Raw genomic sequence first — 13,147 nt, forward strand, 5'->3', positions numbered from 1 at the left:
TACATAAAACTAAGGACTGTGAAAAAGTCTTATGCTTGGAAATTTCCCCATACCATGAGAGCATAAGACGAGGGCCCATCTCATTTTCAGAGTTGGAAGGAGCCTTGAGCTGATATGGGCAGAAGGAGCAGGAGTTAGATGAGCAAAGGGAGGTGTGGTTGGGGACTAGGGGACTGAACCTTCAAAGCTGGGAAAAGGGGAAGGCAGGACTTTGAATTAATTCATGCCAGTGTTGACAGGGGGCACCATCTGCCAATGTCCTTCTCTTTTGCCACTTTAAGTCTTTCTGTTCCTGCCCTATAGATTCTCTGAGCCCCCTTATTCCCATGACTCCCTAAGTCAGTTATATAATCTATTTTCCAGCCCAGGACCTTGGATGCCTAAGTTAAGATCTGTTTCGTGCTAAAGACTAGATAGTAGCGTTTTTGTGTGTGAGACTAAACATCATTCCCATGATAACGAGGTCTGCTTTTAAAGAGAAAGATGTGGGTTGCCTTTATCCTTCCTGAAAAGTGCTATAACTTCTCAAATCTAACTTCCGTTTGATTTGCTGTCTGCTGGTGAATGTGACTGTAGTAAAGTTTATTGCCACTAGAGGGCAGGAACACCAAGGCAAAGGACTGAGAAGCGTGAGACCAGGGCTATGAAGTCTGCAGGCACACCCAGATAAGCCGATAGGGTTTGCACTGGTGTGGGACGTGTCAAATTCCAAGCCCAAACTCTGCGTGTCTGAATTCAGATACATCGTCTACACACTCAGATGATTTCATTCTGCATACTGTAATCACTATAGATGCTGGTGCCAGCAAAGAAAGAATAAAAAAGGACTTTTGGTGGGGGAGGTTCCTGCTGTTTATAAAACAACGAAATAATGTGTTGAATTTCACCTTAAAGAGTCCTTTAAAATGTTCCCAGGAGTCAGAGGACCCCAATGTTGGTTCTTAATGTGCTGTGTGACCTTGCTTAAGAAATGAAACTCCTCTGGGCCTAAATTGCCCCTTTGTAAAAGGATAACATGGTGATGTGAAAAGACTCTTCTGATTCAAAGAAGAGAAGTGGTAAAGATGATTGAGACTGGAGAACTGCCCACTTAGATGCCTATTTGTGATTTGTGTGATTTCTAATTCTGGGGGCTCTTCATACTGAGGGAGCTTTATTTTCCTGACTCATACATTTTTTTTTTTCATTTCAGCAGTTGAGTATACTTTAACAGAAAGGAATGAAGAGCTAAGGGTGGAATTTTGGCAGGTGGTGAAGGAGGTACTGTTGGTTCTTTCAAATCGCACCATGACAGTCAGTATTCTCTTTGCCTTTGATGAGGATGAGACTGATATGGGAGACTTGGTGAATATCTGTGAGAGTTACGTGTCTCCCTGAAACTCAGATTAAACCCTCCATTATCCTGGAATCCAGAGCCTTATTGTACTAGCTCATGAACCTGTCAGCTTGAGAATAAGTAGGGTGGAAACAGGACTGCTCTGGGAATGAGGGATGATATATAATGTTTTTCCTGCCGCATCATTCTAGAATGATGGACTATCTCTACGAGGCTAGGCCCCAACAAGAGGTGGAGCTTCTGCCTAAAGCCACCATCTTTTTCGAAGAGTGTCCCCCCAGGTGACTAGGTCTCTAAGGACCTAAGCTCCCTTTGGTACTCCTCTTGCTGCCTCAAGCTGGGGAAAGATGGTGGTTTGGGCTCTACCTCCATGTATTTGGGCATGAAACATCATGAAGACAACAAACCAAAACAAAGCAAAACAAGCCACAACACAAATCCTATATAAAAACCTCCTTTCTCTGGCAGTCCCAGTTTCTGGGGTTCACATTCCCAGAGAAGTTAGTCCCAAAAGACAGAGGGAGAGAGGTCAGCAGGAGTGAGATGAGGCTCTGCTTGGATTCCCCTTCCTCTCCAGACCTTTGTGGACCACCCTCCAGCTCTCTGTGGTCTTTCTCTCCCATTCCACAGCTGCCTGATTGACGGTGAAGGGCTGCTCCATGCTGCTGCTGCCATTCTCACTTAGCAAGAGATTATAAATGCCTTCAGTCTCAATTAATATAGATTAGCACCATTTTCCCCCCTCTACAGATTATTTTAATGGAAGTTCATTTTTTTGTCGGGTGGTATCAGCACCACCATTTTTTTTTTTTTTTTTTGTTCTTTTTGAGACAGAGTCTCACTCTTGTTGCCCAGGCTGGAATGCAATGGTGCGATCTCAGCTCACTGCAACCTCCACCTCCTGGGTTCAGGCGATTCTCCTGCCTCAGCCTCCCAAGTAGCTGGGATTATAGGCCAGTGCCACCACGCCCAGCTAATTTGTGTATTTTTAGTAGAGACGGAGTTTCACCATGTTGGCCAGGCTGGTCTCGACCTCCTGACCTCAGGTGGTCCACCCACTTTGGCCTTCCAAAGTGCTGGGACTATAGGCGTGAGCCACCGCGCCCAGCAGCACCACCATTTGTAATGATTGCAGAGTGTTCCGTTGTGACAGCTCCACGATTTCCTTAACCGTCTGCTCCCCACTGATGCTGCGTGGCCTCTCTGCATCTTGTCACGGGTAAAATCACAAGATCTTAGGGATCATCCTCTCTGGACAGGCTTTTCGTTTTACAGAGAAGGGAGATGGCTTTGAGCTGATGGCAGACTAGGACTAGAATCCAGGTTTTTGGATTTCCCACCCGCTGCCCTTTTCACTCTGCCAGGCTTATTGAGTGTAGGCATAAAGGAAAGACAAAGGGACCTCACAATCCTATGTGCTAGACAATTTACAGACAATGAACACAAATGTCCCCTTACACATTTTTGTATTCTCTTCCATGCTTCTACTAGTAAGTGTCCAAAATACTGTCCCCCGCTGATTGCCTGTTGGACACATTTGGTCTGACCCTCCTTCCTGTGCCCCAAAGCAGCATTTAAAACCCCTCCATACCCTTTCCCAGTTCTGTCCCCTCTCTGCATCCCCCAGGGATTAAATTTCCCAAGGGCAATTGCCACACAGAGGCAGCAACCCAGTCACAAGATGGCTAAATATAACTGTGCAGACTGCAAATAAGCCTCCGGGATCATCTGCTCCTTTGTTTAGCTTATTATCCTCCCAAATCAAACTCCAGAGGAGGCTCGCGCATCGTCCATGTTGGGCAGGACCCGTTGGGTGGATGTTTGTGTCCGACAGGAAAAACCAAACAAACGCAACTCTGCTGTGAGCCGAGTCATTCCTCTTCCCCAGTGGAGCAGGACTTGCTTTTTAGATAAAGCCAACAATCCCCAGGTTTTGATTTCCAAAGCAAATCACTGAGAATCACATCAATATTGGGAACAGATGCAACAGTCTGGCCGACCAGCTGTGTGCAGCCGAGCAGCCAGGGATGTGGAACCAGGAACAAAGAGGTGCTGGCACTGGAATGTGCTTCATCTCTGCTGTCTCTGCCTCCCTAAGGGAGAAATGGACCATGTGGTGGGCAGGGGCATCCAGGGTTCTGGGCTGTGCAGGCAAACCAGAACTGGAGATACGGAGACAGTCACCCCCAGAGACACACGTTTGCAGGTGGCAATTCTGATCCATTAGTGATGTCTGATGTGGACCCAGGTCTGGTGTAACAGGCGTGCTCTATATTTCATCTGTGTTTTAGACAAAACCAGTATCAGTACGTAGGATTTCATAGAGGGTAGGGTGGAGCTGGGTCTCCACGAAGCTCCAGGCTTAACTGAAGCCCAAAGCTGTCCCTCAAGGAGGACTGTTTTTTCCCAGAGACTGGAGGTCTACTATGAATCTTGGATGGTAGTGGGGACAAGGAACAGGGAACAACCTGTACTTGGAAAGGACCTGGAGTTTGATTTCTATCATGAAAGGGCACTGATGATGTCCATTGCTCATCAAATGGATACTTTTCAATATTTATCCTAAATAAATCCTTATCAGCACTTGATGCTACTGGCCAGTTCTTCCCTCCATTGGTTGAGATATGATTCTGCCTTTTCTTCTGTCTCTCTTGTCTCTCCTTTGTTTCTCTAGAGGTTCCATCCTCCTCTGCCATTAAATATCAGGATTCCTTCATGCTTGGCCCCAGGCCCACTTCTTCTTCCACCCGGTATTCTTTCTCTGGGCGATCTCTTCCAGCCCATTGCTTCCATTCCCACCCCCATGCATATACTTCTTTTATATCTTGAGCCATGCATACCTCTCAGCTCCAGTGGCCTCTCTGCCACCTTGACTTGGATGTCTCTAACTCACCCTGTTGGAAAATGAGTCTGTGATCTTCCATCTGTGCCTCACCTACCTGAATCTCTTCTAGTGTTTCCAGACTCAGAGGACGACGCCACCATTCACTTAAATAAGCCAGAAATCTCACCTGAATACCTCTCTGTCTGTTTCCATGTCTAATCCATCATCTAGCCTTGAGGATTTTACTTCATATTTATTTTTGAATCTGTCCACTTTTTCCTTTCACAATTACTATCCTAGTTCAAGCTACTATCACTTCTTGCCTGGACTACAAATGGGTCCAAACCTCCTAATTCTTTTTCTTAAATTCATTCCAGCTCCCAAGGTCTTTGTCAAAAGGTAGATTGAATTATCTCTCTCCCTCACCCCTGTGTCTCCACTCTGACACTTGCTTCTAGTTTCCTGTGGTACAGGTTGAGTATCCTTTATCCAAAATGCCTGAGACAAGAGGTGTTTAATATTTCACATTTTTTGGATTTTGGAATATTTGCATTATATACTTACCTGGTTGAACATACCTAATCCAAAAATCTAAAATCTGAAATGCTCCAATGAGCATTTCCTTTGAGTGTCATGTTGCCACGCAACAACTTTCAGATTTCAAAGCATTTTGCATTTTCCCATTTGGGATGCTCAACCTGTACTTCAGGACAGCTAAAACCCTGACATTCACGTGGTGCTCCCACTTTCATAGCACTTTTGCTTTTTGTGATCTCATTTAGTTCTCAACTAGCCCGTGAGTGAGTCACTGTCATCACATTTTAAGGATCTTATCTGTTTTCCTTGAAAACGGTGGCTGAGAGGTGAAGTAGCACTTCTAAGGTCATCCAAGTGATTAGTGAGACAGCCTGATTCTTCTGACTCTTCAAACTAACCTCATTTGTTTTTCCTTGCTAAAAAGAAGATTTTTGATTACATAGATGCTCTTCAGTGTCCCTTCTAGCACTCACAGTCTGTGATTCTGTGGTTTGCAGGGTCCACTGGGAAGCTGCAAAACCATTTCAAAGAGAACTTTACAGGTGAGGTGGAGAGAAAAGGTTCAAAGTCAAATTCATCTTTCTTCAGACTGAGCTTTGGATCTGAAATGCAGGGACAACAGATCAATTCTCTCTCTCTTGTGGCTTCTTCTACTTTGGACTCTCCATGACTGTGAATGGAGTTTGGGTCAGAGCTTGATGGTTACAGGAGAAGGACTGAGGGGTTTTAGTCTTGCTGGGGAAAAGACTGAACTTGGGAGGAATGGAAACCCTCAGTGTTTTGACACAGTGGATAATGAGTACTGAAAACAATCCACTGTGAATGAACCCTTGTGACAACTTGAAATAAAAGCAGGTAAGCCATAGGAATGAAGAATTTGAAGGAAGAAAGAATCAAAGCAATGAACAACCAGTAATTCCAGATTTCCAAATATGATCTGTACAGCTGACATCTGAGAACAGACCAGAAGTTTGTGTATCTAATATAGATTGCTGCATCTTTTGTTAGTATGTATGAATTAAAGACTCTTCAAGCGGCAGAAGATTGCTACTGAACTGAATGAACAAGAAGGATTCTTTTTGATGAGTTGGCCTTTCTCTGTGAACTTTTCATTAGGCTATAAACAAAAATACAGACATTTCCTTATCACAGACATAAATATGATAAATGGCCAATCTATGGACCATGTAGAGCAGAGATGATAAATAAGGTTTATTTCCCATGGTATCTCTGATTGTTTGCTCAGTGTCTTGAATACTAGGAACAGAAAGATGTGAAAGCCAAATGTGGTCTTAGTGGGAAACTGTGTGATAATCGATTAATAATGTCTGTCATGGCTGAGGAGTGACACAGTGGGAGTGCGAGTACTGATCTGGAACAGTGCTACTCAAAGTGTGGTCTGCAGATGGGTTTAAGTGTGCAAAATATGTGTTACCCATGATGAAATGAGTACAGAAATGAAAAATAAGTATTTAGAAACATTTATAGCAATTTGACATTGCTGTCACATCCAAGCATATAATTTTGGTATTTTATAAAGTATTTTTCTGTGATGGGTTGAAAATAAAAATAAAACTCAGCCCTTGACCAGCGGTAGCTTGGAAAGCACTGACGTATAGGACTGTGTTTGGTTCCTGTGAAAGACTTTGAAATGCCCTGGACTTGGGGAGCTTAGGAATGCATTCACAGGGAATCATTCACTGAGCATGGGTGTTTGCCAGTTTTCACCCTTTTACTTGGTGGAAGGATTAAGATAACTACTCAGAGATTGCCAAAAATACCTTCCCTGCCTCTACCTGTTCCCACTTTTGATTTATCCTATAAAGGCTGCATTAAGATGGATTCCTTCCATTAGTGTGTCAGTGAGGCCAACAAAGAGGTTGTGCCATTAAAAGTACTGAAGGGTGATCACAAAGAAGTGCCCAACATCCATGGTTGAACTGGCCCGGGTGGCCACTGGGGTCATGCATTAATTCACCCATTCATTTGCCAGTTCACGCATACTCATTCATTCTGGCATTCAACAACTCTTTTTGGAATGCCAGCAATGTGTGTCACAGTGCGAGGTACTGGGGATATGATGATGACCAAGAGAGACAGGTTCTTTGCCTTCATGAAAATGACAGTCTAGGAGGGGAGACAGATATTAAATCAATAATGTATATAAGTAGTGATATAAATCCTGGTAGGTGCTCCAGTGGGGAAGCATTGGTTGCTCTGAGATCAGTTAGCGGGGGTCTTATCTTAGCCAGGGCATCTTGGAAGGGCCCCTGAAGTGACAGTCTGTCAGTGTGCCTCGTCCATGGTGAGTGACCAGAGAAAAAAGACTGGATGGTCGGGTGGGAGGAGGGAGAGCATCGGGATAAATAGCTAAGCATGTGGGGCTTAATACCTAGGTGATAGGTTGTTAGGTGAGGTAAAACACCATGGCACATGTTTACCTATGTAACAAACCTGCACATCCTGCACATATATCACGGAACCTAGAATAAAATAAAATAAACTTTTTTAAAAAAGAAGAAAAAAAAAAAAACTCGAGATGATCCTGGAGAGGTGGACAAGGGAATGATGGTGCCAGACCTTGCAGGCTGCAGGAGGAGTGGTAGGGAGCCCGATGAAGTCACAAGTATGGTGCAGGCATGGTCCCTGCTCTCAGAGGCCATCAGTCTGGGAGAAAGTTACCTAAGCAAGTAGCTGTGATATAATGTGATCTGGGTTTTACAAAGGTGCACATACAGGAGGGAAACAATAAGGTTAGGGAACAGAAATGATTTAACAAAAGAAATTTCACCTTGTCACTCTCCTGCTTGGAACGCTTTTGCAGCTGCATGTTGTTTTTGGAATACAGACCCAATCTTTTCACGAGGCCTGCACATCACCCCCACCCTCCCCCAGGGATGCTTCTTTCATCAGGCTCTTCTACAGCTTTCTCTGCTCCCACTGTCCTAATTGGTCCTTCTTTTTAAATTTTTTTAATTTTAAAAATTATTATTATTATTTTTTCTCATCCTGTCTTATGGTGCTGATTGATTGGTCTTTTTTTTTTTAGACGGAGTCTGGCTCTGTCGCCAGCCTGGAGTGCAGCAGTGTGATCTCGGCTCACTGCAACCTCTGCCTCCCGGGTTCAAATGATTCTCCTGTCTCAGCATCCTGAGAAGCTGGGATTACAGGTGCGTGTAACCAAGCCTGGCTAATTTTTGTATTTTTAGTAAAGATGAGGTTTCACCATGTTGGCCAGGATGGTCTCGATCTCTTAACCTTGTGATCCAACCGCCTCGGCCTCCCAAAGTGCTGAGATTACAGACGTGAGCCACCACACCCGGCCTGATTGGTCTTTCTTTAGGACTCCAGGTACCACACATTTTCTTCCTATCTTGTGGCCTTTGTACATGTTATTTGTTTGTTTGGAATGTTCTCTTTATGCCCCCACTCTGCCCTTGTTTGTCTCTATAATTCTCTAGTTTTCCATGTCTTAGTTTAAATATCCCTAGCTCCCTAGAGAACCCTGTACTTCTCCCTCACAGTGCTTAGAACAAGTATAATTATTTATTTGCATGATTGATTTAATGTCTATCTCCCCTGATGCAGTAAGTACTTGATGCATATTGAATGAGTGAATGAGGAGACAGCTGGCCTGGCCTGAGGGAGTTAGCAGTACTGGTGTGAGAGACAGTGGATATGGGGTGTGGCTAGGGCCAGGCATGGAGAATGGGGTACGACAAGTCCCAGAACACAGCCATTCCCTCTCCATTGACTTTTCGTCTCTCCCAAGCATGTGTGAACTGAGCCGCAACATGACGGGAGCCTCTGAAAGGACACTTTCAAGGGATTAGCAATGCCAGTCCTTAGCTCTTTAGGGAAAGCAAACATCCAGGGTTGATAAGCTGTGCTTAGTCCTATCTCTTTGAATTATAGGAAAATCCTTCAACCTTAAAATTGCTCGGGGCCAAAGAGCCTCTTTTGGAATATGTTGCTCTGCAGGATGACACACATGCTGGAAGGCTGGTAGCTGGGACAGTGGTCAGGCATGGCTGGCCTCCCTCTCATTCTCCTCTATCTTGAATGGATAAGGCCTTACTGGCCTTAAGGCTTTGTTTAAGAACCAGGATGCACAGTGTCTGTAAACATTCCTGTGTTAGTCATCTAATGCTGTGTAACAGCTTATTCCAAAATTTAGGTGCTTAAAATCATCATTTAATAGCTCTTACAGTTTCTGCAGGTCAGGAATTCAGAGTGCCGGGGGCAGGACTTGTCTCTGTCCCACAGTGCCTGGGGCCTCTGTGGCTTGAATGCTGGGTGCTTGGAATCCTCTTCAGGCTTCATCACTGATGGATCTGGCGGTCAATGCTGTTGCTGGCTGGGGGCCTCAATGGCCTGTTGGCCAGAACACCTAAGTGCGGCTTCTGTGTGTGCCTGGGCTTCCTCACAACATGGTGGTTGGATCCCAAGGACAAGCATCTCAAGGAAGAGCCAAGTGAAAGCCATGTCCTTTTTAGAACCTAGTTCTGGAAGACACGCAGCCTCCCTTTTGCCCTGTTTTATTTGTTAGAAAGGAATCACCAAATCCTCCCCATATTCAAAGGGAGAGGAAATTAGAATCCACCTTTTACAGGCATGTTTTAAATATGCCACATTCCTTTAAACAAAAGCACAGAGAGGATCTTGGAATAGTGATAGCAGTTCAAATGTGAAAGAAACAATGGTTTCAGAGCAAAAATGTCTCTTCTGCGATCTTGGATGACTCTACCCTGGACAGCGTTTTGCCAGCTGGCCCTGGCCTCCCACCTCCCTTTAGGGAGATGCATTGTCCTCTGAAAAGATTCTCTACCCTTGCTTAAATAAATGTAGGGCAATCTAACTTTAGCCTGTGTGTGTGTATATGTGTGTGTGTGTGTGTCTGTGTGTGTGGTGGGGGCCAGGGTTCCTCCTGCCATCCATAGTTCACCTGAAATACTGCACACGATGCAGTCGCTGTCTGGAACATTCGGCAGATTCTTAAAGTTAAATTTGTGGTATTTTAGAACTGCCCAAAGAGAAAAATAAATAAATAAATAAGCCATGCTAATAGTGAAGAGTTATAGTTAAGGGAAGGTTCTTTGACTGAACTAGTTTAAATGTTAATTTTATTACTCAAGAGGGCACTTTGGAACTCCCTGTCATTATGGAACAATTAAACTGTAGTTCCTTATTAATTTTAAATGCCTTCCTAGGGTAATTAGTGGCATATAATGTGAATTGCATCCCATTAATGAATAGATTTTTGAATCTGAGTGGGCAAAGTCTTTTATTTGGCTATCCAACAAGACAAGGCCTATGAAAGGAACAAGTTTGGGCCCTTTGAGAATAGAGGGCCTCCCCACACCTCTCTGAGTCCAGGATGAACCCTGGCAATCCCCTAAATAAAACATGCAGTCATTAAACTTTCAGGAAGGTGTGATGGTTCTGGCTGCCTCCTTAGACATGAAGTTGGCAGGCAGAAAATGGATAGTTTTTTGGAACAAGGATTTGGAAACTAAAACAGGAGATTGAGGTTCTGAAGTCCTAGTAGCAGATCATCACTTGAGGATTTATTTTTTTTTTGGTTACTTTAAAGTGACATTTATGAAGCACCTAGTGGATACCTGGCACTTTCCTAGGCAATGGGTCTATTATTTAATTCTCAACACTACTTCATGAGATTGGTATTATTATTTCCATTTTACAGACAATGAAAACATGTCTCAAACTTAGAAATATAAGATGATATAGATCTTGACCCTAAGCTCAGGTCCGGCCCAGTCCAGAGCCTGAATTTCAACTGCTTCATCACTGCCTCTTGGTTGGGCCATATCTTTATTCATGTCTTCAGTTGCTCTGATTTTATTTTAATGCTCTTTTTGTTTGTATATTCCTTAGCTAATAAAACAGAATACCAGTGTTAAGAGATTTTTAGGGACTATAATGTGATCCCTTCATTTTATCAGTGAGAAAACTGAGGTCCAGGGATGAGGATGGACCATCTAAACCAGAGAGAGAGTAGTGACTCTTATTCTAGGCATGGCTCAGGGATGAGGGAGACGTGGCTGCTAGCAGTTCCCCAATTCCAGCTCTGTCTGCACAATCCTCAAATCCTGACCCCGAAATCTAACTCCGGCTTCCTGGGCAGGCTTCTTACCATGAGTGTCACCAGCTCTGAGAATCTAGTTAGGCCAACGTTCCTCTTGTGGGCAAACCATAGCCAACTCTGTCTTGTCCACTTGCAACTTAAATGACACCAGCCTGTGAAATACAAATTGTATTGGCACAAGCCTCCACCTTCTTGATTGACAGCACTGACCCCCTCACAGTGTTCTTTGGATTTCCAAGGCTTGTTGCAGGAGCACCCATGGCCAGTCTGTCAGCTGTGGCCTCTACGTGGCCTCCTCCTTCCTCTCTTCTGGCTCCCACCTGATAGAGTCCACAGCCTGGCAGGCCATCTGCTGAAGCCGCCCTGAGGCCCACCCCAAGAATACTGCTGGCTTTCCATGCCAAAGGACTCTCTCTGGACACCGCTAATGCTTTCAGTTTCTTATGGGCAGAGCATTGCTGGGTTATGTGGTGCCAATCAGTGCCCTGAGCTTCTGGCCTTTACCCCTCACCTAGAATATCACCAGGATGCTCATGACCATCAGTTTCTGGCCTTTACTCCTTCAAACACAGGAGCTCAAACCTATCCCAGGAATAGATGGGAAGCAGATGCAACCCCATATCTTCCACTCTCCTCTGTTCTCCTCTTTGACCCTTTTCCCCAATCCACACTCCTCCCTCCATCCTTACAGAACAAAGGCATTTATTGATTCATCAAATTTGTTCACGGAGCACCTGCTACTTGCCAGGCCTTCTGCTGTGTGCTTAGGGTACAGTTGAAACAGTCATTGTTAGTTGCCAATATTCCTCTTTCTCTCTTTTTGATAGAACATCAATTTTGTTTGGGGCAAGAATTTGTCAGACCTCAGTGAAGAGTCATTTATGATTGTTCTAAATGGATCAGGATAACACCACTCCCTCATCACCCCCACCACCCCAGCTAGTAGGCTTGAGATCCTGAACTGGATGAAATGTGAGAGGAGGCTGGGTGCTTTTGATAAAAAGTGCAGACAGGGAAGGGGGCCTGGGTGGCACTGCCCTCTTTCCTCTTTTCCTGCTTTGAATGGGGAGTTGATGTTTGGAGCTTGAGGGCCCAGAGCATCAAGCCTGAGTAGGAGGAGACGACAAGAGGATGGCAGAGCAGAAATGCAGGAAAAGCCTGGATCCTGATGGCTTGGTTGCACTCCCAGACCAACCCTGAGGTTGCCTTTCCTCTGGGCTTCTCACTTAGAAAAGAACAAGCACAGACTGGTTTAAGCCAATCTCTTCATCTGTCATTTCCAAGTTCTCCTGACAGCAGGATGGTGATACATTCACACAGTGATATGATGTGAGTGATACAGGCACAGCCCCTGCCCCCATTAAGTTCACACATCAATGAATACCGGAGATGTTGGGAAGGGCACTGAGTTGCCAACTCAGGCAATGCCTGGCACAAACTTGCTCATTCACTTTTGCCTTCTTTGCACACTGTGTCTTTGCTTGATATAATTCAATTCCATCTCTATCTGCTTTTACTTTAACTTCTAATTTCCTAGTGTAAATATGAGCCAGGAAGAGTGGATCAAGGAGGCAGCTGCTCCTCGGGGCCTGGCTGGTCTGCGGCATGGTAGATTGTGAGCTCATTTAGAGAACAGTCTGGATCGATAATGATTTCAGTTACACCGCAGGCTAAGTGTTTGAAGCCAGTGACTCCGGGAAGGGTGATGGATCCATTAGGAATGCTTGGGCAAAGGGTAGAGACTCTTTCCTTCCCTCTTCTGCTGCAAGGGGAGAAGTAATTTCTCTGTTTGGCTGTAAGGTTGCTAGGTCAGTCAGCCTGGAGAATGGTTGATTCACAGCTCAGGTTTTCTCTCAGGGGCGGGAAGTTTTGCCAACAGAGAGGCTGTGGAGGGTGATAGTTAAGAGCTCCAGCTCTGAGAATCCAGGCTCTTCCCTTTTGCATGCTGTGTGACCTTGGGCAAGTTACTCAGCCTGGCTGAGCCTCTATTCCTTTATTTGTGCTCTGTGGATAATCACAGTAGATAAGGCTTCTGTTGACTCTTAATAGGTCTTTTGTAAATCTTCTGGGAAGTGTAATCACAAAGGAGTGGAACAGTGAGGAAGTGAATTTGTGGAATGCATAGAAATGAAAACATCCAAACAGCTGGGAGTGTAACATAAATAAAGGTACTGTATTAGTCTGTTCTCATGTTGCTATAAAGAACTGCCTGAGACTGGGTAATTTATAAAGGAAAGAGGGTTAATTGACTCACAGTTCCCAGTGGCTTTGAAGGCCTTGGGAAACTTACAATCAAGGCAGAAGGGGAAGCAAACACATACTTCACATGATGATAGGAAGGAGA

At 44.6% G+C, this 13,147-nt stretch overlaps 1 annotated feature.

Annotated features, from left to right (window-relative positions):
• Positions 463-542: an enhancer, noted in NCBI's record as "active region_23571". NCBI's record gives its function as "activates an Ori minimal core promoter by ATAC-STARR-seq in GM12878 lymphoblastoid cells {active_cell/tissue: GM12878}" and the evidence as "EXISTENCE:reporter gene assay evidence [ECO:0000049][PMID:35858748]".

This window comes from Homo sapiens, chromosome 5, assembly GCF_000001405.40.
Source record: "Homo sapiens chromosome 5, GRCh38.p14 Primary Assembly".
Lineage (NCBI taxonomy): Eukaryota > Metazoa > Chordata > Mammalia > Primates > Hominidae > Homo > Homo sapiens.